The following is a 27,698-nucleotide window of genomic DNA, read 5'->3' on the forward strand; positions in this document are numbered from 1 at the left end:
ATATATGTATTATGCAATTTGTTTTTTTCTGGCAATTTGCTGTAACAGTATATCATAAAAATGTACCTGATACATTTGCTGGATCTTCTTAGATTTCCTTGTTTGCTTCCTGAATCCACAAATGCTTACCACACTTCACTGCCCACAATTGCTTGGACCCACATGGTTCTGCTGTGTGGGCTGACCAGTTACCCTCCCCATGGGAGCTGCCAGGGAGCTGGGCCAAATTCTGCATGCCCAGAATTTCTGGCTCTTCCTGTCATTTCTAGTATCTTGAATGTATGCAGAAGGGATCAGATAATGAACAAGTGTACGCAGGGGTATTAACTCCCCAGTAGATCAGATCCCACCAATTGGAAACAGAGGATGGAAGGAAACAAAGAGGACAGACTTCTCCTTCCTCCTTTCCTGCTCTAAGACGTGGTGTCTGTGGCCTGCTTGTCCCAGCAGCATGACCTGCGGCTGGGCGAACCGTCATGGCAAGTGACCTGCTGTGTCATCCCATCACTCGTTATAAAACAATGCCCAGTGAAGTAATGTCTCACCTGGCATAGTTTCCCATCCTCTGTTACCTGTAGAGGGTCCAAGGTATTTGGGGGCCTAACATAAAATAAAGTGTGATCACAAGGTGACACATGCAACTTTATTTAAGTGATGCTTTCATGGGTTCACATGAAAAGGAAGGAAGTCCTCTATAGCAGGAGACCTTCCAGAGCTACAGGATGCAGCCACTACTCAGAAGGAAAGGCTGGAAGGGAATCCCAGGGGGTGAGGGGACTAGAGGGGGGTTCAGATGAGTGGGTGAAGTTGCTCAGCAGCCTGGTGGGGAGTCTGGGTCAGAGAACTCCAAAGGGCAGCAGTAGTTGGCATCTTTATAGCCCTGAGTTTATCTTATATATGGTTAGCACATGTTGGGCACAGTTTTGTGGGCATACAATGGAGGTAGGCTCTAAATGGCTAAAAATATGCATATTTGATCTGTGTCTAAAACAGTTAATATGGAACATTTTGAGTTTGGTGCTAGGAGGATTTTGAACAAATAGGTCTCAGCCTTCTGTGAAGAAGTAAACAACCTAGAGGCCAATTTGCAGGGGCAGTCCTTGGCTCATTTATACAACACTATTTCACAGCTTCTTTCCCTCACTCTTGCTGCCCTTGGTTCATTTATACAACACCATCTCACGTCTCCTTTCCCATCCAGGCTAAAGTGACATCAATGAAAATCAATACAATTGAGCCTTGAACAACATGAGTTTGAACTGTGTAGCTTCACTGATACATAGATTTTTTTTTTATAAAAGTTGCACCAATTGTGCCTGCCTCTCCTTCCACCTCCACCTCTTCTGCCTCTGCCACCTGTGAGACAGCATGACCAACTCCTCCTTTTCTTTCTCCTCCTCCACAGCCTACTCAGTGTGAAGAGGGCAAGGATGAAGACCATGATAATTCACTTCTAATTAAGGAATAGTAAATATATTTTCTCTTCCTCATGATTTTTTAGTAACATTTCTTTACTCCAGCTTACTTTATTGTAAAAATATAGTACATAATACATAGAAGATACAAAATATGTGTTAACTGTTTGTTATTAGTAAGGCTTCTGGTCAACAGTAGGCTATTAGTTGAGTTTTGGAAGAGTCAAAAGTTATACTTGGATTATGGACTGCATACAAGTTGGGGCCCTTAACCCCTGCATTGTTTAGGGATCACCTGTACATGTAAAGTTAGCCTATTTTTTTGAAATGGCAATTGTGTATTGTACTTGTGAATTAGTCTGTTCTCACATTGCCAATAAAGATGTACCCGAGACTGAGTAACTTATAAAGGAAAGAGGTTTAATGGACTCACAGTTCCACATGGCTAGGGAGGCCTCACAATCATGGCAGAAGGTGAATGAGAAGCAAAGTCACATCTTACTTAGCAGCAGGCAAGAGAGAGTGTGTGCAAGGGAACTTCCCTTTATAAAACCATCGTATCTCATGAGACTTATTCACTATCATAAGAACAGCACAGGAATGACCCACTTCCATGATTCAATTACCTCCCACTGGGTCCCTCCCACCACACATGGGAATTATGGGAGCTAGCATTCAAGATAAGATTTGGGTGGGGAGACAGCCAAACCATATCATCCCACCTCTGGCCCCTCCCAAATGCCATGTCTTCTCATTTTAAAATCAATCATGCCTTCTCAACAGTCCCCCAAAGTCTTAACTTATTTCAGCATTAACTCAAAAGTCCACAGTCCAAAGTCTTATCTGAGACAAGGCAAGTCCCTTCTGCCTATGACCCTGTAAAATCAAAAGCAAGTTAGTTAATTCCTAGATACAATGGGGGTACAGGCATTGGGTAAATACACCTGTTCCAAATGGGAGAAATTGGCCAAAATGAGAGGACTACAGGCCCCATGCAAATCCAAAATCCGGTGGGGCAGTCAGATCTTAAAGCTCAAAAATGATCTCCTTTTTTTTTCATGTGTCACATCCAAGTCATGCTGATGCAAGAGGTGGGTTTGCATGGTCTTTGGCAGCTCTACCCCTGTGGCTTTGCAGGGTACAGCCTCCCTCCTTGCTGCTTTCATGGGCTGGCGTTGAGTGTCTGTGGCTTTTCCAGGCACACAGTGTAAGCTGTTGGTGGATCTACCATTCTGGGGTCTAGAGGATGGTGGTCGTCTTCTCATGCCTGCACTAGGCAATGTCCCAGTGAGGATTCTGGCAGGGCCTCCAACCCCACATTTTCCTTCTGCACTGCCCTAGCAGAGATTCTCCATGTGGGCCTACCACAGCTGCAAACTTATGCCTGGACATCCAGGTGTTGCCATACATCCTCTGAAATTTAGGAAGGGGTTCCCAAACCTCAATTCTTGACTTCTGTGCACCCACATGCTCAACACGATGTGGAAGCTGCTAAGGCTTGGGGCTCACGCCCTCTGAAGCCACAGCCTGAGCTGTACCTTGGGCCCTTTTATCCATGACCGGAGCAGCTGGAATGCAGGGCACCAAGTCCCTAGGCTGCACATAGCAGGGGGATCCTGGACCTGGCCCAAGAAGCCATTCTTTCCTCCTAGGCCTCCAGGCGTGTGATGGGAGGAGCTGCCTTGAAGCATGCCTCTGACATGCCCTGGGGACATTTTCCCCATTGTCTTGGTGATTAACATTGGGCTTCTTGTTACTTATGCAGATTACTGCAACTGGCTTGAATTTCTTCCCAGAAAATAGGTTTTTTTCTATCACATCGTCGGCTGCAGATTTTCTAAACTTTTATGCTCTGCTTCCTCTTGAATGCTTTGCCACTTAGATATTTCTTCTTCCAGATACCCCAAAGCATCTCAGTCAAGTTCAAAGTTCCACATACCTCTATGACAGGGGCAAAAAGCCACCAGTCTCTTTGCTAAAGCACAGCAGGAGTCACCTTTGCTCCAGTTCTCAACAAGTTCCTAATTTCCATCTGTGACTACCTCAGCCTGGAGTTCATTGTCCATATCACTATCAGCATTTTGGTCAAAGCTATTCAATGAGTCTCTAGGGAGTTCCAAACTTTCCCATATCTTTCTGTCTTCTGAGCCCTCCAAGTCTCTAGGAAGTTCCAAACATTCCCACATTTTTCTGTTTTCTTCAGAGCCCTCCAAATTGTTCCAACCTCTACCTGTTACCCAGTTCCAAAGTCACTTCCACATTTTTGGGTATCTTTTCAGCAGCACACCACTCTGCTGGTACCCATTTACTATATTAGTCTGTTCTCATGCTGCTAATAAAGACATACCTGAGATGGGGTAATTTATAAAGGAAAGAGGTTTAACTGACTCAAAGTTCCACATGGCTGGGGAGGCCTCAATATCATTGCTGAAGGCAAAGAAGGAGCAAAGGCACATCTTACATGGTGGCAGGCAAGAGAGAGTGTGCAGGGGAACTCCCCTTTATAAAACCATCAGATCTTGTGAGACTTATTCACAATCACAACAACAGCATGGAAAACACCTGCCTCCATGATTCAATTACCTTCCACTGGGTTCCTCCCACCACACATGGGAATTATGGGAGCTGCAACTCAAGATAAGATTTGGGTGGGGACATGGCCAAACTACATCAATTTGCATGGATTTTCTCTAATTTCTGTGATGATTCTCTTGTTTATGAACTTTTACTTTGTTCTTTAACTTTTCTTATCAGAAAGCAGTACTTTGTTGACCATCTTTGTCTACATATCATTACATACCTCAGGAAGCTGAATTTTGGATTAAAAGTCTTTGATTTTTAGTTTCTGATATTACTGCCAATTCCCTTTAAAAACATTATTTCAGTTTATATTTCCACCAGTAATTATATCAAATCACTTCTCTCTTCATATTCTGGATGTTATCATTCAACTCCTTAACAACCTAATAGGTTAAAATTTGATAGCCTATATGTTTTTCTGATCTTTGATGAGGTTGGTTTTTTGGTATGCTAATTATATGGAGCTCCCACTCCAGTTTCCAGAAAGATGCCCATTACTACATCTCTCAGATCTTTAGGAAAGTTCCCTGTGGGCCTGTCTCACATGTATTCAAACCAGCATCTTGGGATTTTCTGCTCCTTGTTTGGTCGTTTATCCCTAGGCTGCCTCTCCCACTGATGATCTTGCAGTTCATGCAGCTGTCCTCTGCTAGTGACTATAATTATTATTGTCTTCTGGTATCAGGGAGGGGCACCTTGCTACCTTGTGGCTCTGTTGTATCACTCGTAGGTTCTCCTTTAATTTCCTACAGCAAAGTTGAATCTTAGTTATAAATGTTAACAAAAATTAACTAAAGATTTGAAGATAATTGAATAAGTGTACCAAATAGAAACTAAAATAAAATTTTCATGCAAGGGCAGAGCTGAGCTTTGGTCCCTTTCTGGCCTGAAAATGAAAAGAAATCTTAACCTCCCACCAGGATACCTCAGTGAAATTTAGGGCCATAAAACCATTGACATGGCAAGTTGATCCTTACTTTTTGTCTTTTTATGTCTTGTTACTGATGCATTGCTACTTAATAGGCAATTTAACATATTATCTCCCCTGCTTTATGCATACACACGCAGATTTTTAAAATTATCATGGTAAGAACACTTCATAATACTGCAGAATGTGGTATTTTTGACTGTACAATGTTGTACAACAGATCTCTAGAACTTATGTATCTTGTGTAAGTGAGCCTTTTTGCCCATTGAACCCTGTTTCCCCTTCCCCCTAGTCCCTGGCACCACCATTGTATTCCCTGCTTCTCTAAGTTTGACTATTTTAGATACTTCATATAAGTGGAGTCATGAAGTATTTGTCCTACTTGTTACTGGTTTATTTCACTCAGCATAATACCTTCAAGTTTCATCCATGTTGTTGCATAAGGCAGGACATTTTTTAAGGCTGAATTCTATTCCAGTGTATCTATATACAATATTTTCTGTATCCACTCATCCATTGATGGACTTTTAAGTTGTTTCCATACGTTGGCTGCTGTGAATAAGCTGCAGTGAACATAGGAGGGCAAATATCTCTTTGAAATACTGATCTCTATTCTTTTGGATAAACACCCAAGAGAAGGATTGCTGGATTATATAGTAGTTCTAATGTTAATTTTTTTGAGGAATCCTAATACTATTTTCTGTAGCAGCTGCATCATTCTACATTCCCACCATCAGCATGCAGGGGGTTCGAATTTCTCCACATCTTCACCAACACTTGTCATTTATTTTATTTGTTTGAAAATGGTTTTTTTTTTTAACAGCAGGCCACTATTTCAACTTTCTTTCAGGTTTTGTTCTCTGATTTTCGCCATTTAAAAAAACCTTCCACAACAAAACAATTGGGGTGAGCTGCAGTCCTACCCTGAGACAAGAGGGTCCTCTGCCCTGGTCCCCATGTCTGGGAGCACTTGGCTCTGGTCCTCCAGTTGCTCTGTCCATGGAGGTGAGGGGTCCCTGGGCCCAGGTTATGTGTCCACTCAGAGCCTGTACCCCATCTGCCTATTTTCATACCATGTTCCAGGCACCCAGGGCCTTGGCATTCTCTGCACACCTGCCCCAAGGCAGGGTTCAGCACCTGCAAGGGTCTCCTTTCCAGGTGATTCTCTTGAAGACAGATGATGCCTCTGGAGTGAACAGCCCTAGACATAAGTGGTGGCCAGGCAGGTGCTGTATGCTATGGGGTTGTGGAAGGAGTATGGACTGAGCTGGGACATGCAGCTTGCGACTGCTACACAGATGAGCTTGAGACTCTCCTTGTGAGGAGAATTTTAATGCCAGCACAGAATTTTAATGATTTTGATAACTCTAAATTTAAACCTGGAGTTCTAGGCCATTAAGGAGATATGTTTTCCAATGAAAATGATGAAATGAAATTTGAAGTTGCCAATAAAATGAAATTTCGGTTTGCCAATGAGATGAAAATATAAATCAACCAAATTTATTTGTAAATACATTACCTTGGGGCATGTGATATATGGGTCTCCATTTTTACTTATTCCTGGGTCCTGGAAATGTTAGTGGCAGCCTGGTAAGCTATACCTGATATGAAGTTTAAGGGACATAGGTCTGAAGTTACTGGATATGTTAAATACAATTGTTTTGTATTCTTGCGTCTTACAATTTCCCACAATCCTGATTTATGCATTTATGGAAAGGATTCTATGGACAGTGATATCTTCCCTGCCCTTTGGCATAGTTCTTGGTTGCTGGTATATGCACAATAAATATTGGACAAATTAATACATGTTATATGAAATCTTCTGGTCTTCTTTTGCACTTGGTTTTACATCTTACCATTATTTGCAATGCAATATTTTTAGCATTTCTTTTGTCTTGGATTTCTTTTGTGTGTTTGTGCTGTCCTGAATGTAAAGCTGTAGCATGGGCATTTGACAATTTGATTCTCTTACAACTCATACATTAGTTACAAAGGAATTTCAAATTCCAGGTGTAGATCAGAAACGAGAAGATTTGGCCGATGGGTTTTTTTTCCATACACTGCAAATTATGCCATGTTCGATTAAAGTGGAATTGCACAATCAACTTATACCTAGGAAGGTCCTAAAGGAGACTGTGTACTCTTGTCAGGATCCCCACTGTGGTCTGTGTTGGCCTAAAGCAAGTTCTACCTACACTCTTCCTCTGAAAGTGACAATAGTGAGACTTCCCTGTGGGCTCCAAGCAGACACTGGAGTTCCTGCTTCCTGTCTGACCCTTTGCCTCCTCCACCCATCAAATATAAATGAATTAAGGACTAACTGTAGCACTATTTAAAAATTTCAAAAAGAAAGTATGTAGTGTCTTTTTGAAAGAGGAAGACATATCCTTGAGGAAGGATTTTTTTTTAAAACAAAGAAAAAAGTGTTCACCATAAAATAAAATAATAGTACATTTAATTATTTTAACATATAGTGTTTATATCCACAAAAAGATAACTATAAAAGATGATGAATATGATCATTTGTTTGACAGTAGTAATCATTTCCCTATGTATATGCATATCAAAACATTATGTTCTATATTTTAAATTTATACAATAAAAATAATTTAAAAAGAATTTTTATTCATGTAAAGACATCATAAAAATACAAATTCAAAAACTGAGAGAAGATAAACAGAACACACATAACTAATAAAGTATTGTTAGAATATATATTAAAATGTCTACAAAACAAGAAAAAGATAAAAATATAAAAATGGGCATAAGATGTAAGTGGACATTTTACTACAGATTGAAAAATCAAATGGACAATAAATATATGATTATATATTGCATTTCATCATTGATTATTGGAAGAATTAAAGAACTTGATAATATTAAATGGTGGAAAGGATGATCACAGGAAGAACTTGTACTCATTGCTGATGGGAACATTAACTGGGATAATTTTTTTTTTAGAAAAGATTCATGTTACGTTCCATCGATACCTAATTTATTGAGACTTTTAAGCATGAAGGGTTGTTGAATTTTGTCAAAGGCCTTTTCTGCATCTATTGAGATAATCATATGGTTTTTGTCATTGGTTCTGTTTATATGCTGGATTATGTTTATTGATTTGTGTATGTGGAACCAGCCTTGCATCCCAGGGATGAAGCCCACTTGATCATGGTGGATAAGCTTTTTGATGTGCTGCTGGATTCAGTTTGCCAGTATTTTATTGAGGATTTTTGCATCAATGTTCATCAGGGATATTGGTCTAAAATTCTCTTTTTTTGTTGTGTCTCTGCCAGGCTTGGGTATCAGGATGATGCTGGCCTCATAAAATGAATTAGGGAGGATTCCCTCTTTCTCTATTGGTTGGAATAGTTTCAGAAGGAATGGTACCAGCTCCTCCTTGTACCTCTGGTAGAATTCAGCTGTGAATCCATCTGGTCCTGGACTTTTTTTGGTTGGTAAGGTATTAATTATTGCCTCAATTTCAGAGCCTGTCATTGGTCTATTCAGAGATTCAACTTCTTCCTGCTTTAGTCTTGGGAGGGTGTATGTGTTGAAGAATTTATCCATTTCTTCTAGATTTTCTAGTTTATTTGTGTAGAGGTGTTTATAGTATTCTCTGATGATAGTTTGGCTATCTATGACAAACCCACAGCCAATATCATACTGAATGGGCAAAAACTGGAAGCATTCCCTTTGAAAACTGGCACAAGACAGGGATGCCCTCTCTCACCACTCCTATTCCACACAGTGTTGGAAGTTCTGGCCAGGGTGATCAGGCAGGAGAAGGAAATAAAGGGTATTCAATTAGGAAAAGAGGAAGTCAAATTGTCCTTGTTTGCAGATGACACGATTGTCTATCTAGAAAACCCCATTGTCTCAGCCCAAAATCTCCTTAAGCTGACAGGCAACTTCAGCAAAGTCTCAGGATACAAAATCAATGTGCAAATATCACAAGCATTCTTATACACCAATAACAGACAAACAGAGAGCCAAATCATGAGTGAACTCCCAGTCACCATTGCTTCAAAGAGAATAAAATACCTAGGAATCCAACTTACAAGGGATGTGAAGGACCTCTTCAAGGAGAACTACAAACCACTGCTCAATGAAATAAAAGAGGATACAAAGAAATGGAAGAACATTCCATGCTCATGGGTAGGAAGAATCAATATCGTGAAAATGGCCATACTGCCCAAGGTAATTTATAGATTCAATGCCATCCCCATCAAGCTACCAATGACTTTCTTCAAAGAATTGGAAAAAACTACTTGAAAGTTCATATGGAACCAAAAAAGAGCCCACATTGCCAAGTCAATCCTAAGCCAAAAGAACAAAGCTGGAGGCATCACGCTACCTGACTTCAAACTATACTACAAGGCTACAGTAACCAAAACAGCATGGTACTGGTACCAAAACAGAGATATAAACCAATGGAACAGAACAGAGCCCTCAGAAATAATGCCACATATCTACAACCATCTGATCTTTGACAAACCTGACAAAAACAAGAAATGGGGAAAGGATTCCCTATTTAATAAATGGTGCTGGGAAAACTGGCTAGCCATATGTAGAAAGCTGAAACTGGATCCCTTCCTTGTACCTTATACAAAAATTAATTCAAGATGGATTAAAGACTGAAATGTTAGACTGAAAACCATAAAAACCCTAGAAGAAAACCTAGGCAATACCATTCAGGACATAGGCATGGGCAAGGACATCATGTCTAAAACATAAAAAGCAATGGCAACAAAAGCCAAAATTGACAAATGGGATCTAATTAAACTAAAGAGCTTCTGCACAGCAAAAGAAACTCCCATAAGATGGGATGGGAACCTACAGAATGGGAGAAAATTTTTGCAATCTACTCATCTGACAAAGGGCTAATATCCAGAATCTACAATGAACTCAAACAAATTTACAAGAAAAAACAAACAACCCTATCAAAAAGTGGGCGAAGGATATGAACAGACACTTCTCAAAAGAAGACTTTTATGCAGCCAAAAGACACATGAAAATATGTTCATCATCACTGGCCATCAGAGAAATGCAAATCAAAACCACAATGAGATACCATCTCACACCAGTTAGAATGGCGATCATTAAAAAGTCAGAAACAACAGGTGCTGGAGAGGATGTGGAGAAATAGGAACACTTTTACACTGTTGGTGGGACTGTCAACTAATTCAACCATTGTGGAAGACAGTGTGGTGATTCCTCAAGGATCTAGAACTAGAAATACCATTTGACCCAGCCATCCCATTACTGGGTATATACTCAAAGGATTATAAATCATGCTGCTATAAAGACACAGGCACATGTATGTTTATAGCGGCACTATTCACAATAGCGAAGACTTGGAACCAACCCAAATGTCCAACAATGATAGACTGGATTAAGAAAATGTGGCACATATACACCATGGAATACTATGCAGCCATAAAAAAGGATGAGTTCATGTCCTTTGTAGGGACATGGATGAAGCTGGAAACCATCATTCTCAGCAAACTATCACAAGGACAAAAAGCCAAACACCGCATGTTCTTACTCATAGGTGGGAATTGAACAATGAGAACACATGGACACAGGAAGGGGAACATCACACACCGGGGCCTGTTGTGGGGTTGGGGGAGGGGGGAGGAATAGCATTAGGAGATATACCTAATGTAAATGACGAGTTAATGGGTGCAGCACACCAACATGGCACATGTATACATATGGAACAAACCTGCACTTTGTGCACATGTACCCTAAAACTTAAAGTATAATTTAAAAAAAATGAAAAAAAATTCATGTTTTCGTGTAAGTTGAACATTTGCATATCTTGAGATCAAGAGGTATCCCACTCCTAGGTATATATACAAGAAAAATTATTTGACATGTGCACCAGGAGAGATGTACAATAATATTTATAGCACTCTACTTATAATATGAAAAAACTGGAAACAATCCAAATTCCTATTGATAAAAGAATAGAGTATTATTTGACCTGCAGAGAGAGAATTCATGCTTTGAGAGAGGGTTTCAAGAATGGGAATCACACATCTATGGTAGCTATGATTTTAGATGCCATATGTTAAAGGGATGAATGATCTTATCCACTGTCAAATCCCTGAAAAGACCATCAGTAAAACATGTTGAGCAAGAAAAGCTAAGTTTATTAGATTTATGGAAGTAAGGAAAAGCACCGCCATGACAGAATATTAGTAGTGTCTCAGAAGGAAAAAGTCAAGAGAGGCTATTTATGAAATTTTAGTACCTTTCTAGTCACCTCGGCTAGATGACTTCAAGGTGGGTCTACTATGCAGGATGATAACTGGCTTTGGGAAAAGTTTATATTATAGTAGTTTTAATTGGTGGGCACAGAGAGAGGAAGATCTTGAAGAGGGTATTAATGAGTCAGTTGTGAGTCTTCAGAAGTAGAGATTTTTTTTTTTTCTTTTGTTGGTTTATGGTGTTAGCTTTCTGGAGCAACGATTCCTTGGAGCAAGTATCTGAGATATTTTTGCTTGCCCCCAATAAATTATTTAGCAAAAACCAGGAAAAGATGTTTGTTCCAGAGTTTTGAGGCCATGGAAAGTAAGATACGTTTGATTTTGGAATTAACACAAGAATAGGAAAGCATGTTGGTTTCAGTTATTGCCAACTTCCCTTGATAATTCTTCAATCACATTTAAAGGATAGACCATTGCCTTCTGGGGACATGATCAATTCTGATCTTCACCACTGTTTACCATCTTTGGTCACATGTGGAGTTTCTGATGTTTGTTATTCCAACTTTTATACGTGTCAGAGTTTGTTGTGCTTTTTGTTGAAAGATTATTTGTTGGGTCCTTTGATGGAACAGGGGCTGAATAGCAGCACTAAACACTGCGGATGACACAACTGAGCAGTACAACACATAAAATACTATGAGAAGAATTATGGTCCAAGTTTATAGTCCACAGCTAAGCCAAATTAAATAAAAACATGCATATTAAACAAAAATAAAATGTATCACCCCCAATCTGAAGAGATACATAACCGTATTAGCTCAATTATCTAATTTCATGTTATCTTTGTTTCCCAGATTTTTTTGTCATATTAAACATCCAAGAGAGATCTGTAGATGTTTGAGTACAATATTCTTCCCATAAGGCAGCACATGCTCCACCTTGCAAAGGATATACATTATCTACTCAGCTGTGTTCTGAACCACCACCTGCTCCCTTTCATAGAATTCCTCTTAAGTGAGGACTATTTGAAGACAAGTAATGTACAGAGAAAACAGATTGCTGTAAAATTTTCAGGTCATAGCCTGTTGCATCACAAATCCAAAATCCATTATTAGGGACAATCTAATTAAACTTTGGCCCAAGCAGGTCTGACGATATATTGCCGTGGTATAATATAGTAATGTTTTGATCCCACTCATCAAATGTGGTTCTGTGTCAGGTGACAGTCGGTTTAGAATAGATATCATCAGGTGGATTTAAAGCAAGAGAGCTTAGCATTGAGCCTAAGCAGTTCTTCTTTCTTACAATGTCTGTAAAAATGAGACAACTTCCAAATAGCAACTGTTTTTCTAACTCTTTTAGAAACTTTCTTACCATAAAAGTTCTGTTACAAAAGGCATTTCCTGTGAAAGGCACTTGAAACTGTTTCTGTGGAGATAGAAAACCCTCTTAGTATATACAATCCGATAGGGGATTTTTGATTTCTGGCTGGCTCTGCTGTTGAGTGGCTTTCAACCTAAAAAATGCTTTCTACTAGAGTCTAATTACCAAGGAATCCAACTGACTTGTTAAAAGAATGTGTTATCAAAGAAAGCAAAGTGGCACACAAAGAAAAATGAATGCAAAAAATGGTTTATTTGTTTATATATTTTGCCAAGCCATTAATAATAAGTTACATTTTGGTATTGGACTCATACCAAGCAGTGTCTAAGAATAAAAAAAATATGTTTATCATGAGGACAGTATGAGTACCATAACTAATAGATAAAAATGTTTCTTAATAACCCAGAACCTTACAGTAAGTAAAGAGAAAAGAAGCTACCTAAGAATATAGCAAACAAAGCATGAAAATTAAAACATGAGAATCTGTGACTCCAGTTATCTAGATGATGTTCTATGGGTTGTGGGTTGAATTTCTCTACTTCATGCAGATGTCTACTTGCTCTGAAAGCCTTTGATGGGAACTGTTTTCTTCCAATAACTGTTCACTCTTGGAGAATACCAATTTTTAGCTTCATGTCTCCATCTAGGACAAATTTTCAATGGCTGAAAAATGCCTTTATGTCTTTGGGGTCCTGGCTGGAGTAGTGGGGATAGTGTGTACTGAAGGACAAAACTCTTGAGATTTTCTTACTGTGCAACTTAACAGTATCTGATAAGATCATGCCCATCAGGTTTTGGGGGCCATCTTTCTCAGAAGTCTGTTTAGGAGAATTATTTTTCCAGGTTTTAGGTTATGCAAGGTTGCTTAGGAGGATGTTGAGCAAACGGTGCTCATGCCAGTGGATGCTCAGGCTGTTATCTCTTGTATTAGTCCCTTGTAGTATTTTTCCAACTCCACTTACCAGAGGACACAATCTAGAATCAGAGATGCAATTACTACAGCCATGGGATGACCTGCTACTAACTTATAGTGGGAGAGTTAGTGAATCCCAGAAGAAGTTGATTGCATTGTTATTAAAACTAAGATAATACCTTAGGTGATAGAAGCAAAGGGTCATTGAAAACTATGCTAATTTTAGCTGAAGAATACTATTTGTTCTTTCAATATTTTCTTAAGATTAGGGGTAGTATGGGCCGTGAAATTTCTGAGTAAGTGGTAAGGGTTTGCAAAACCTTTCCTGTGACAGGGTCACACATTTTAAAGGATTTTCATTAGCACTAGTTTGGAATTCCCCAGATTGAAAACAAAGAATTAAGCAATACTTCTGCTACTATCAGAGGTATAGCTCTTTGGTAAGGAAAAGCATCAATCCATTCCACTAATAAGTAAGTAATCACTAGAGAATAGTTAAGACCGACTGAGGAAGATGGCCATATGAAAGGCACTTAAACATACTCAGACACCCTGATTCTTGGACCCTTGTTCTTGTCCTGTTTTTCATAGATTTGTCTGGTTAATGGTGGTGATAAGTGAGACAGACACCACAGATGATCGCCAATCTTGGCTGAATACAGTGGCCAATTTGTCCTTGCTGTAATTTTATGTGATTTAAGCCAGTTGCTTACTAAATAAATAAGATCAAACAACAATACCAAGCACTGGAGAGGAATAAAGGAACAAGAATCCTGAGTTGCTGCAATATATTATTTAAATGCTCATTTTTAATTAAAAAAATCCACAAAACTGTGAGACATGCAGAGAAAAAGGAATACATGTCCCATACACGGTGGGGGATGGTGGGGTGACACAGGTAACAGAAACTGCCTGTGAAAGGGACCAGATGTCAGATTTAACAAAGATTTTAAAGCAGCCATTACAAATATATTTAAAGAACTGAAGGAAATAATGTATGATGACAATGCTTAATCAAATAGAGAATATCAATAGCCAGAAATTATAAAAGAAAACCAAATAAAAATTCAGTATTTGAAATGTACAATGACTGAAATGAAGAATTCACAAATGGGCTCAACAATTGATTACAATCTATTTCAACTGACAGAAGAAAGAATTACCAAAGTTGAAGATAGGCTGCTAGCAATGATACAATCTGAAGGACAAGAGGAAAAAAAAAAACAACAATATACAAACAGAGCCTCAGAGACATGTAGAATATCACAAGTGCAGCAACATATTCATAATAAAAATGCCAGAAGGAGGAGAGAGAGAGAGTGGAACAAAAATTTATTCAGAAAAATAATGGCAAAAAATTCCCCAGTTTGATGAAAAACATGCATCTATACCCTCAAGAAACTCAACAAACTCTAAGCAGGAAAAACTCAAAAAGATCTACACCTTGACATATGAGAGTCAAATTTTCCAAAGCCAAATTAAAAAAAAAAAAGAATCTTGAAAACAACAAAAGAAGAATGACTTGTCACTTACAAGGAAACCCCAATAAGATGAACATCTGTATTATCATTAGAAACAATGGAGGCCAGAAAACAATGGAACGACAAATTGAAAGTGGTGAAAGAACAATCTGCCAACCAAGAATCCTATATTTAGCAAAACCATCTTTCAGTAAGGAAGGTAAAATAATTGACATTCCCAGATTTTTAAAAAACGGATAGAATTTGTTGTTAGTAGACCTACTTTAGAAGCAATAAAAGTGGAGTTTTTCAGGTTAAAAGCAAGTGACCCTAGGCAGTAATTCAAACACATGGATACATACACACACACACACACACACACACACACACGCACACACACCCCCAATGGTAAAAGCAGTTATGTAATTATAAATGACACTATAAATACATGTCTCTTTCCTCCTTTTAACTGGATTTAAAAAGCAATCATATAATACAAGTGCATGTAATTGTATTGTTGAGCCTGTAACATATAGAAATGTAATAAATTTGCCAATAGTAGCAGAACAAAAGTGGGTAGGAACAAAGCTATATTAGAGTAAGAAAATGACACCAGATGGTAATTCTAAACCTCAGGGACAGATGAAGAAAACCAGAGATTGTAAACAAAATTAATACAAGAAGCTGTTTACATATGTTCCGCTTTCTTCTCTCAGCTTCTTAAATATACATAAAATTATATGAAATAATATTTATAGCAATGAATTATTGGGATATACCTATATATGTATGTTAATATATGTTTGTATATTACATAAATGTATTTATGTATTATATATTTGTTGAGAAATATATATATTATATAATATATACATTTATATATTATATATTTATTTTTGGCATATAACAACATATCCCAATAAATATTATATATTTATTGTTGAGATATAAAATATTTCCCCCAATATATCTAATATAAATTCATATCTGTTGATAACATATAAAATATATATTAATATATGTTAGGCATAATGTTAGGTTCAACAATAGTAGCACAGAAAAGGGAAGACAGAAATAGAGCTGTATAGCAGTGACATTTCTGTATCTCATTGGAATTAAGTTAGTATAAATTTGGAGTAGATTCTGCCCAGTTAAGATGTACATGGTAAACCCTAAAGTAAGTAACCACTAAGAAAATAATTCAAACAGTATAGTTAAAAATTATTGAAGGAATTACAATGTTACACTAGAATATATTCACTTTACATAAAAGAAATACATGAAAGAAGTATATAGAAACAAAAAGACATGAGACATATCAAAAAAAGTTAATTGGATATAAATCCAATTACACCCATAATAACATTAAGTGTAAGTGGATTAAGCAATCCAATCAAAAGACAGAGACTGTCACACCAACTATAAAGACAAAATTGAATTATAGGCCAGGCGCGGTGGCTCACGCCTGTAATCCCAGCACTTTGGGAGGCTGAGGCGGGTGGATCATGAGGTCAGGAGATCGAGACCATCCTGGCTAACAAGGTGAAACCCCGTCTCTACTAAAAATACAAAAAATTAGCCGGGTGCGGTGGCGGGCGCCTGTAGTCCCAGCTACTCGGGAGGCTGAGGCAGGAGAATGGCGTGAACCCGGGAAGTGGAGCTTGCAGTGAGCTGAGATTGCGCCACTGCAGTCCGCAGTCTGGCCTGGGCGACAGAGCGAGACTCCGTCTCAAAAAAAAAAAAAAAAAAAATTGAATTATATGTTGTGCACAGGAGACATTTTTAATTCAAAGACACAAATAGGCTAAAATTAAGGGGTAAGAAAAGATAGATCATGCAAACAGCAATGATAGGAAAGCAGAATGGCTATACTAATGTGAGATGAAATAAAAAAAAAAAAAAAAAAAAAAAAAAAATGAGGTCAGGAGTTCAAGATCAGCCTGGCCAAAATGATGAAACCCCATCTCTACTAAAAATACAAAAATAAGCCAGGTGTGGTGGCGGGTGCCTGTAGTCCCAGCTACTTGGGAGGCTGAGGCAGGAGAATCACTTGAACCTGGGAGGCGGAGGCTGCAGTGAGCCGGGATCATACCACTGGACTCCAGCCTGGTGACAGAGCGAGACTCCATCTCAAAAAACAAAACCAAACCAAAAACAAAAAAAACCCCTCACAATTGAAGGAAGAAATAGACATTTTGACAATAATGGTTGAAATCTTCAATACCTCAGTTTCAATAATGAAGAGAACAACTAGGCAGAAGATCAATAAGAAAATAGAAGACTCGAACAAAACTATAAACCAGCTAGGCCTAGCAGATAGCTGCGGAAAACCCAATGATATCAGAGTATACATTCTTCTCAAGTGCACATAAAATGTTCTCTGTGACATACTAAGCTAGGTCATATAGAAAGCCACAATAAATTCAAAAGAATCGAAATCATACAAAGTATGTTCCCAACAACAATCAAATGTAATGAGAAATTAATAACAGAAAGTTTAAAAATGTAGAAATTAAAAACACAGATCTAAATAACTACCACAAAAAATATAAAATAATTTCAAATAAATGAAAGTAAGTGGGACGCAGCATGACAAAACTTATGGCATGCAACTAAAGCAGCACTTACAGAGACTTTCATAGCTGTAGGGGAGAGGTCTATATTACATTAGAAGAAAGACCGCAAATCAATAACTTGGATATACAATTTAAGACAATTATAAAAGAACAAACTAAACCTAATTAAGCAGAAGGAAATAAATATCAGTTAGAATGAAAATTAATAACATGGAGAAGAGAAAACAGAGAAAAATTAACAAAAACACACCTGGCTTTTTGAAATCAATAAAGTTGACAAATCCTTAGCCAGACTGACAAAGAAAGAAGAAAACTCAAATTAATAAACATGAATGAAGAGGGGACGTTATTATAGACCTTACAGAAATAGAGAAGTATAAGGAATACTATGAACAATTGTATGCCAGTAGTAGAAAAATATCCTAGAAAGGCTCAGACTATAGAAACTGACTCAGAAGAATTAAAAAATCTGTAAAGATCTATAATAAAAAAAGATTAAATTCATAATTTAAAACTTGAAAAGCCTAGTCCCAGAATTCTACAAAACGTATAGGAAATTAATGTCAATTCTTCACAAACTCTCTAAAAAATAGAAGAGGAGAGAACACTCCTCAATTTATTTTATGAGGCCAGGATTACCCTGATTCCAAAACCAGACAAATATATCACATGAAAAGACAACTACAAACCAATATTTCTTATTAATATAGACTAATATAGGTGACCTGAGTAATCTGTTGAAGTTTTTCTGTAAGATTGTGCCAACCTTCTATACCAGCCTTGGAGCCAATAGCAAAGGTAAATTTATCACCCCATGCCTTATAAATTTCTCTTCCCCATAAATTTCCCCTTACAGACTTACAATAGAAGTAACAAAAATAGAGAGACAGAGGTAAGAACAGATTAACAAGACATGCTCTGCCAAAAATAAGAGTTTTAAATTTTGACGAGGTAATCTAAGGATTCCAAAAGAGGGTTACCCATCCCTAGGGAACAAAGTAAACTTGGTGTTTGGGAGCTTGACAAAAAGAGATCACAGCTCAGGCCCCTGAGTGTGCAGTTCAGGAGGCCTCGGAGGAGCTCTGTGCAGTTGAGTTGTGTTTATTGGGCCACAGTAGCAAGAGGGTCTTGATGAATCCTGGCACAATCTGCAAGATTATCAGTTGTCAATTTCTGCAAAAGACCACCGTGCAATGTGTTGAATAAGCAGAACTAAATGTATTAGACTTACTGAAGGAAGAGAGAATACCATGTTTACAGAGTCTTCATAGTATCTCAGCAGAGAGAAGCTGGGTGTATATTTACAAGGCTGAGGCCTGGGCTGAATGATTTAAGGAGGGCAACTGTTTGGTATTGGAGAGGCTATGATAGCTTTGGATAAGTGGGCACGGTAGGATGGAATTCTTGAAATGAATATCGATGAGTGAGGTGTTTGTTTCAATTAGTAAGTGATCTAAGTTGGTTCTGAGCCTTAGCTATTTTTCTCAGAAAATACTTGCTTCTGGAAGACAAGTTATTTTTGCCACATCTAAGTATTGCTTAACACAGAATAAGAAAAGATGCATTTTCCTAGAATTGTTTGGCACATTGCAGAAATAAACAAAGACCGCCCACCCAAATGAGAACAAACAGAGGCTATTTATTCAGGGCTTGGTACAGCAAGGAAGTCAATTGTCATCACCTTGGCCTGTCTAATACTCAAGGGCAGGCAGTGGAGCAGGACAGATTTATGGTAAAAGAAGAGACGGCTTCAGAAATGCTCTGATTGGAGGTTGTTGGCCTGGGAAAGCTGAAAGTCCACTCACTTAGAAACATGGTATCTTATGTAACTGGTTTTGGCGCCATATTTGGCTTTCTCTGGTTGGTCTGGAGTAGGAAGCAGGAGAACAAATAGGGAAGCTAACAGTCACCTAGCAAGTCCTGACCATTCTGGACCAATTGCTGCAGAGGTTGTGGGTAAAACTTCTAAAACCATAAATCCTGGCCATTGTCATTTGTGTATTAAATCCTGTAACATGGACAGGAAAGCATGTTGGCCTCAGCTCTCAATTGCAATTGGCCCCAAAATGTCTACCTGTAATGAAAACTATGTTTTGAAATTGTGAAACTATTAATAGAAGTGGTCTGAGGCTCTGAATCTCTGAGAATGATTACAGTGTTTTATGAAGCAAACTTAGAGAAGATGAACTTCTTAGCCAGAATTCTTTAAAAGTTTGTAGGATTTTTCATATATAAGAGAGAAGCAGGTGAGTAGGTAGGCTTAATTATATGCAAGCGGGAGACTGCATTATCTTCAGGTGGTGTTAGGTTAGCCATCTGCAAGTGAAGAGATTATTTTCCAAATCTCCTTAGAGTTCCAGATGGAAGTTAGCAATAGAGAGGAAGGTGAGGTGTAGTTAAGCATCCTTGATTAGGTGTGTCCTGATGACTACATGAGTCCAGACGATGATTTCCCCCTGATTTTAGTTCCCTTAATCATAGGCTTCTGTGTTGTTGCACAGTTTCTCCTCCTGCATTTGGCTTTCCTAAGTTAAAATACAATTAGCCCCCTTATTCATCCTGCAAGTTCTCAGAAGTTTTAGTAAAGCCTGTCCTTTTACTCTCTCTAAAATATTAAAGATTAAGCTTCTTTTCTGGATTATACAAATTGAAGGAGCAGATCAAGATTTTCTATTTATTTTCAGATTGCTGAACTCAAACTCATTCATTAAAAAATGAAATATTTCTTCAAAAGGTTTTTACACTGTGAAATTTTGTTCAACTTAAGTCTTGGTTCAATGACAGTGTTACAAATATGCATGACTTATAACTGAAAATTATGAAGACATCAAAAATTATATCTTTACATGATGAGGCTTCTGACTGGCCTAGGATGGTCTTGGAATCCTTTCTGTGCACCCCAAATAATGTGGGATGTACAGGGAATTGCTACATCATTTCTAGCCTGAGTTTTCTCCCTGTACTGTTTCAATCTTCACTGTCCTCAGAACTGCACTATGTCTGGCTTCAGTGGAAGCCTTCAGTCGACGTTTGCATGAGGCAGTTTATACTGTGTGAAGTTTCCACACTGCACAGGCATACCTGCTTGTCTTATATCCCAATGGGTTTTTGAATCTCCAATGGGTCCTTCCTACTCCTCACTGGCTCCTCCCCAGTATGGACTTACCTTTGTCTGTGAGAGATATTTCCAAGCTGTCATCTTCCATTACGAGGAGTGTTATTTGTCATGCCTGGGTATGCGTGTGGGGCCATTGCGCAGCTTAGACTGCTGTGTATCATCCAGTCTGCTTGTGGGTGGCTGCTTTTCATCTATTTTTCATCCAGTTCTCTTCAAAAGAGGGAGCTGCCATTTCCCTGATGACATGGAGCCTCCTTGGCTGTCGTCTTATGCTTGACTCACTCTTCTTTTTTAGGCTGTCAGAGGGTATTCACACTCTACAACAGTATTTATGCCTTCGTCAAAACAGAATCTCTCCTTCAAAAAAGTTACCATTTGGATAAAAAAAAAAAAAAAAAAAAAAAAAAAAAAATTTTTTTTTTTTTTTTTTTTTTTTTTTTTTGAGACGGGGTCTCGCTCTGTTGCCCAGGCTGGAGTGCAGTGGCGCAATCTCGGCTCACTGCAAACTCCACCTCCTGGGTTCACGCCATTCTCCTGCCTCAGCCTCCCAAGTAGCTGGGACTACAGGCACCTGCCATTACGCCTGGCTAATTTTTTTGTATTTTTAGTAGAGATGGGGTTTCACTGTGTGTTAGCCAGGATGGTCTCGATCTCCTGATCTCGTGATCCGCCCGTCTTGGCCTCCCAAAGTGCTGGGATTACAGGTGTGAGCCACCGTACCCGGCCTGGATATATTTTCTTTCTGGATCTTTGATTATACTTATGTTAGAGATTTTGATCATGTCCAATATATATAATATGGCCATTTATGTCTTTTCAATTCCTTTCTTCCCGCAGCTTTAATGAGGTAAAATTGACAAATAAAATTATATATATTCATAGTGTGCAAGGTGATGATTTGATATATATACACATTGTGAACTGTTGACCATAATCAAGCTAATTAAACATATCCATCACTTCACATAGTATTTTTTTTTCTGGTAAGAACATTTAAAATCTACTCTCTTACAAATTTCATGTATTCAATAGAGGATAATTAACTATAGCCACCATGCTGTACATCAGATCTGCAGAATTTATTCGCCCTGCCTAAATGAAATTTTCTACCCTTTGATCAACATCTCCCCATTTTCCCCAATCCCTTTGTCTTTTTGTGCTTTAGTTTGTATATTTTCTAGTGAAAGTAGAAAATATACTTTTCTACTATATATATAGATAAGTATATATACTCTATATCTATATATACATATATACTATATATAATCTATATCTGTATATAATCTATAGCTATATTATAGATATAGATTATATATATAAAATCTCTCTATATGTACACAATCTGTCTATATATCATCTATTGAGTTTTAATTAATTTTAAAATTAATTAAATTAATTAATTAGTACCTTTCAGTGCTAGAGTTTCCATTAGACTATTTCTTTACCTAATTAATTTTAGACCCCAAGTTTCTGGTGAAATTTTGCACCCTTTCCTCTAATTTATTGAACATAATAGTTTTGTTTACATGAAATAACCTGTTTGAGAACTCTGGTATCTGTATCGCCTGTGGGTCTGTTGCTGCTGTCATGGTTTTATACCTGGTTTTTAGTTTTGTAATCGAATACCATAAATGTGTGACTGATGTGAGACATTGTGAAATAAAATTAGCAGAGATCCAGAATAATACTATTTTTTTCTCTGAAGAAGGTTAAGTTTCCCTTCATTAGGCAGATAGTGTATGGACTGATTTATTTCAGTTTTTTCTTTTGCTTGCTTTTTAATTTCCAGAGCTGTCCTAATACAGGGTTCTTACTCCTGGGGTGTGGCTCTTCTGGTCTCAGCTGAGCCTGAGACAGTCAACAGGGCTTCTCCACTTAGGGGCTTAGTGTCTGCAGCGTTGTCCAGCTCTCCACTCTGTGGCCATCCATTGTTTCTTCCGAGAAGTCAGCTGCCAATCTTATTGCTGTTCCTTTGAAGGAAATGCACTTATTTGTTCTCCTGCTGCCTTAATTTTTTTTAACTTTGATTTTCAGGTGTTTACTATAATGGAACTAAGCATTGTAGAGATGTATCTATATCTGTATCTACATCTGTATCCTGCTTGAGATCTGTAGCGCTTCTTAAATCAGTTGGAGTATTTTGTTAGTTTCTAAAAATTCTTGTTGATATCTCCTCTAATATTGTGTCCCCATCTCTCCTTTTTCAATTGAGACCCTAATTACAAGTATGATGTCATTTTTTACCATGTACTATACATTACTTATGCTTTACATCTGTATTTGCCCTCCTCTTATTTTCTCCAACCTTCATTCTCCACACTAAAATTCTACTTACCTGTCCTTCAGCTAGACAAACTCCTCCCTATGTCTAATCCCTTATTACACCCATTTGTATGCTTCTTAATTTATATTATTGCAATGTTCAATTCTGTAATTCCAATTTGAACTCCTTTCCTCTGGTACAGATTAAGGTAGGTGAATTATTTTCTTAATAATTCAAGTTATACAGACAATCCACTGAAATTCCAGGCTGTCTTTGGTAAAACTTTAGCCAAATCTTCAATATGTGGTATCACTGGCACCATAACATTTGTACATATAAAAAGTTGGAAAATGACCTGGGGCTTCACCAGATCATTGGTGATCACCAGATCACATATTCAAATGATGAGGACAAACAATAGAAAAAAATCAGCCCCTAAGAATCTCAGCACTAAACCTCTACATCATCTCTCAGAAACCAATGTTTCTCACTGAGGAAAGGTGAATGGCTTACGTGTCCCTTCAGTATAAGGGAACAGAGAATTGAATTGGTCATATGGGACTCACTTGGCTGACCAATCACTGGGACTCTGGGGAGGTAAGATGTCAGAGGCTCTTTAGGGTGCTGGATACTTGAATGCAGCCCGGTCTGAGCAGCAGGGGGTTCCATCCCGATCTGAGTCGTGGTACCAAAAGCAGTTCAGAAAATCCACCAGAACATCATTATTCGTAAGTCTTGATTTAGAATTTTGCATATGGGGCACAAGAACAATTCTGATGAAGTATTCTAAGTTGGGGTGGGTTGGGGGAGGTGGAGTTTTTATAGAGCTTTAATAAGAGATGCCAGCCAAAGTTCTGCAACTTTTAGGACAGTAGTTGGTTAAAAACAGTTATTCAGAGGAGGAACCCATTGTTCTTGTGGGTTAGCAGCCGCTGGTCAGGTAGGTTAGGGTTAGGGAGAGGGGTGGGAGGAGCAGTTGGTTGGGCTACTGGGGTAGGGGGAGGAACAGGGGAGCCACCGCAGTTACCTGAGCACCTTGGCAGGGACCGTCTGTCGTCCTCCGCATCTCTCGCATCTTCCTCTCCAGTACCTACCACCACCTCATGCATGATGCATTTCATTTTTGTTTAATTTATTACCTGCTTCCTCTGCCCCATAAAAATGTCGGCTACATAGGGTAGAGGTCTTTATCCATTTGGGTCATTGCTGCATCCCCAGCCCCTGTTCCATGCCCAGAACATCACAGATATACAATCCTATTGAATGAATAAAGGAGGAAGAATGGCAGTGCATGGGGAATCTTGTAACGTGGGGGACTCACAATGCTTCCTCCAGAAAGCCTGCCGCATTCTCCCCTCCCCCTTATAATATCACATCTATGCTCTGTGGTCAGGGCAGACGCAGGCCAAGCTGCTCATCAGAAGCTGTGTTATTAGGTTGTTCTAAGCTCTCTGTAAAAGGCCGTTTTCATTTATGTCAGTAGAATTAGGCTACAGGTTATACTTGCAAATGAGATAAAATCACTAGAGAAATCCAAATTTCAACTTGGTATTATTTTAATATATGTAAGAGTTGTATGATTCCAACAATAAAAAAGTATAATTTCCTTCAAATTCAAAGGGCTTGAGAAGATATTTTCATATGAGCAGCCAACGGAATGCAAAATGGAACTAAATGATAAACTTAGATGGAAAGGGCAGCCTTCTGTGAGTAGACAAGTGGACAGGCATCTCCTTTCTACAACGAATCAGTTCCTGAACATCAGAGTTTCTGTGCAAAAATGTCAAATAATGAGAAATAAGCTCCCAATAAATGTACAAAATTAAAACACATTATTAGTCAACTCCCGTAGCTAAAACACAGTCAAATAATTATATATAGGGAACAAACTATTATGTAGAAAGAAAAATGTTACTACCGGATTATGAATTCATACAGTTGTCTTCAGAGAACTGCTTATTAGAACTTCTCATAGTAACATAAAAATCGGAAGCATGTATTCCTTTCCAAAACATCTATATGTGATTCCAATCTTCTAACCACTGTATTTGGAGTGAAACTTGAGACTGTTCCCAAACTCATTTGATAAAAATATCGTATTGGGTTTTGGTTACGTACGTGGCAATGTTTCTTATGTAAGTCTAGGCCCCCAAACTTTGTATTGTGAGATATCGTTGAGCAAGTAACACAGGTTACCACCTCCAGGGCAGAAGTCCCACTGCAGGGAAGAGAGCAAGAGCCCAATAAGGCCGGGGACCAGGAGCAGCAGTCCCAGGTTGAGCCCACTACGTGATTTGCTGGTGTCAGGGTCACCAAGAAAGACACAACTCACACAGGCACTGGATGGAACAGCATTTTGCTCACATAGGGAAAAGACAGAGCAAGATCAGCTTTGATAGTCAGTATTGGTCCCCCGAGGCCTGCAAGTCTCACCCCACAGCCTGAGCAGGAGCTGGTCGGCATGCACCACACCCATCTCGTGCAACAGGCACAAGACCCGTCCCCCGTCCCCCACCCGCAACGCTGTATGACACATGCATGTTTAAACAGAGCAAAGTGCACATCGCTCGTGGAACAGGGAAAGTCATTCCCAAACAAGGCCATGTGCACAGCATGGGCTGAGGCCTCTTGCTCTCCACGTAAGGAAATGTTCCAGGTCCACGGCACACCCTCATGCAGCTGTGTCGGGTCTGCAGGCTGTGCACGACTGTCTTTCTCAACAGGTACTTTACATTCTATGATGCCCAGGTATTAGGAGCCAAAGGTTAGCTGTTGGGAAATGTTAAGCAGAAAGAAGCTCTGTAGTATTGAATTATGTCTCCCTCTTGAAGTAACTGAGTCGTTAATGTAACCACTCCAAACAGATAAGAATTAAATTGACCTTTTCTCAAATCCCTTTGTCCTTACGCAACCTTGAGAAGGTCATGGTCATCCTCTATGGCTCAACATCTTTCATGTCTCGAAGATTTGGAATTAAGTATAATAATATTTTAAATATTATGAACTAATTATACTATTTTATGTTAAGGTAACTTCATGTTTAAATTTGTTTTTACGTGTACTGTTTTGGAGAAGTTGGTCTTTAGAGTGGCAGTCTAAAGTATCCTATTGAAAATCTCACAAGAACATAAATCATATTAGGATAATTAGGAAAATATTATGTTCATTGTGGTTTTAAGCTTAATTGAAATTTTAAGAATTACTTAAGAACCGGGAGGTTTGTCAGACACCTGGAATCCCCAAAAATTTATGAATTCACTTTTAAATGTTCGAAGGTGTTAATTAATGTTTGCAAATAGGAATGAATGTTATTCAGAGGCCCTCTTGGGAGTAATTTTTAGCATTTCTAGACTTAGAATGACAAGACGTAGAAGTTAAATGTAAAAAACTTAAGAACTAGAATTCTGAAATGATAACTCCTGTAAATTAAATAAGTCAAAGCAAACGCTGGATGACTGTTAGGTGTGCAACCCCCCTGAGGCCGTTTGTTTACTGTGATTCTCCTCCCCTTCACTCCTCTTGGATTCTATGCCATCGAGATCTGTTGCCACCTCCTTGAGAATCCTGAGGGGAATGAGTGGGATATGGGCCCAGTGAGAAGATGATTGCTCTGTTGACCTCTTGGGCCTCTTATTGCCTGCAACCCTGCCACCAAATGGAATACATGCAATGTTTAGAAGTTCTCTGTTCTTTAGCCTCTGTGGCTTGAGATGAGGAAGAATAACTTTAACTGTACTAAGTCATTTTCCTTGTTTTGTTTTTGTTTTCTTTGTATTTGGAGGCAGAAGTTTCTTATATGTTTAAGTTTTTCCAGTGATGTCAGAGGCCCTGCTCCCTGATGTCATGCTTTGCGAGAGCTTGCTTCCCTGGCTGTATTAAGGGATTTGAATCTCTTGATTGTTACATATTTGACTTTGAATGTATAACCATGGCATTTTTTTTTAGAAAAATACTTACACATAAGATAATTGTTTTGAAGAACACTGCAGGTTGTTATTCTGTTATGACTGCAGACTTTGTTTTGCTCAAAGCAAATCCACTTGGGCATTACAGAAAAAGAAGAGCATGATGAATGTCCTGTAAGAATCTGTGTTATCTGCCTCTGTGTGAATGCAAAACAACTTGCTTTCCTACCAGGGCTTGTACTTATTCATTGGATTCTTCCTCATTACCTGAGCTGCTAGGTGAATGTTTGGCTGTTGCTTATTTATTTTATAGGATTTTCATTAAGTCTTTGTATATTTCTTAATACAACAATAGAGATTGTAGGTGAGTTTAAAATTATCTGTAATGTTATTTAACAGAATGCATTAAGTTTGAGACAATGACATTATGTAAATATATTGAATGAGTTCTAATCTAGAGTGTGGGGTGCAAATCTCTATGGAAGCAAAATGGAATTTCATGTTGACAGCAGCAGTGCGTTTCCTTTACTTTTATGTGCTGAATTCTGGCTATTTCCAGAATGAGTGCAAAGCAGGTAATTAAAGTTAAAAGTAAAGGTTTGACAATGATGCAAGGATTTTTATGAAACCTCTATACAGTGGCAAGAATCTTCCCTGTAAAGTTTGTATGTTTTGGCACTAGATAAACCTTATTTTTAAAATATTTTAAATTAATTTTAATCTCCCCCCTTTTGTTTTAGTGAATATGTTGGGCATCAGATTAAAATGACATTCTGAAAAATATTCCTTCAGCCATAAGACCCTCGCTGGTTCTAAGAAACCCTCAATGTGTTGTTAAATAAAAACTGCACTGGACAAGATGAGCAAATAGAAGTTGGTTTTATTCCCACACTATGAAGAGCAGCAGGGGAGAGAACACAGACCAAGCCCAGATACTCAGATTTG

The 27,698-nt window shown here is 38.4% G+C and overlaps 1 long non-coding RNA gene across 1 annotated transcript in view, besides 2 other annotated features; it reads left to right on the forward strand.

Annotated features, from left to right (window-relative positions):
• The window catches only part of LOC102723686 (uncharacterized), a 121,255-nt gene that overhangs the window by 79,847 nt on the left and 13,710 nt on the right, over positions 1-27,698 (forward strand). The window lies entirely within an intron of this gene.
• Positions 25,255-25,549: an enhancer, noted in NCBI's record as "tiled region #3392; HepG2 Activating DNase matched - State 9:DNaseU". NCBI's record gives its function as "activates a minimal TATA promoter and a strong SV40 promoter by Sharpr-MPRA in HepG2 cells {active_cell/tissue: HepG2}" and the evidence as "EXISTENCE:reporter gene assay evidence [ECO:0000049][PMID:27701403]".
• Positions 25,255-25,549: a silencer, noted in NCBI's record as "tiled region #3392; K562 Repressive non-DNase unmatched - State 21:Repr". NCBI's record gives its function as "represses a minimal TATA promoter and a strong SV40 promoter by Sharpr-MPRA in K562 cells {active_cell/tissue: K562}" and the evidence as "EXISTENCE:reporter gene assay evidence [ECO:0000049][PMID:27701403]".

The sequence above is a fragment of the Homo sapiens genome, chromosome 7, assembly GCF_000001405.40.
Source record: "Homo sapiens chromosome 7, GRCh38.p14 Primary Assembly".
NCBI lineage: Eukaryota > Metazoa > Chordata > Mammalia > Primates > Hominidae > Homo > Homo sapiens.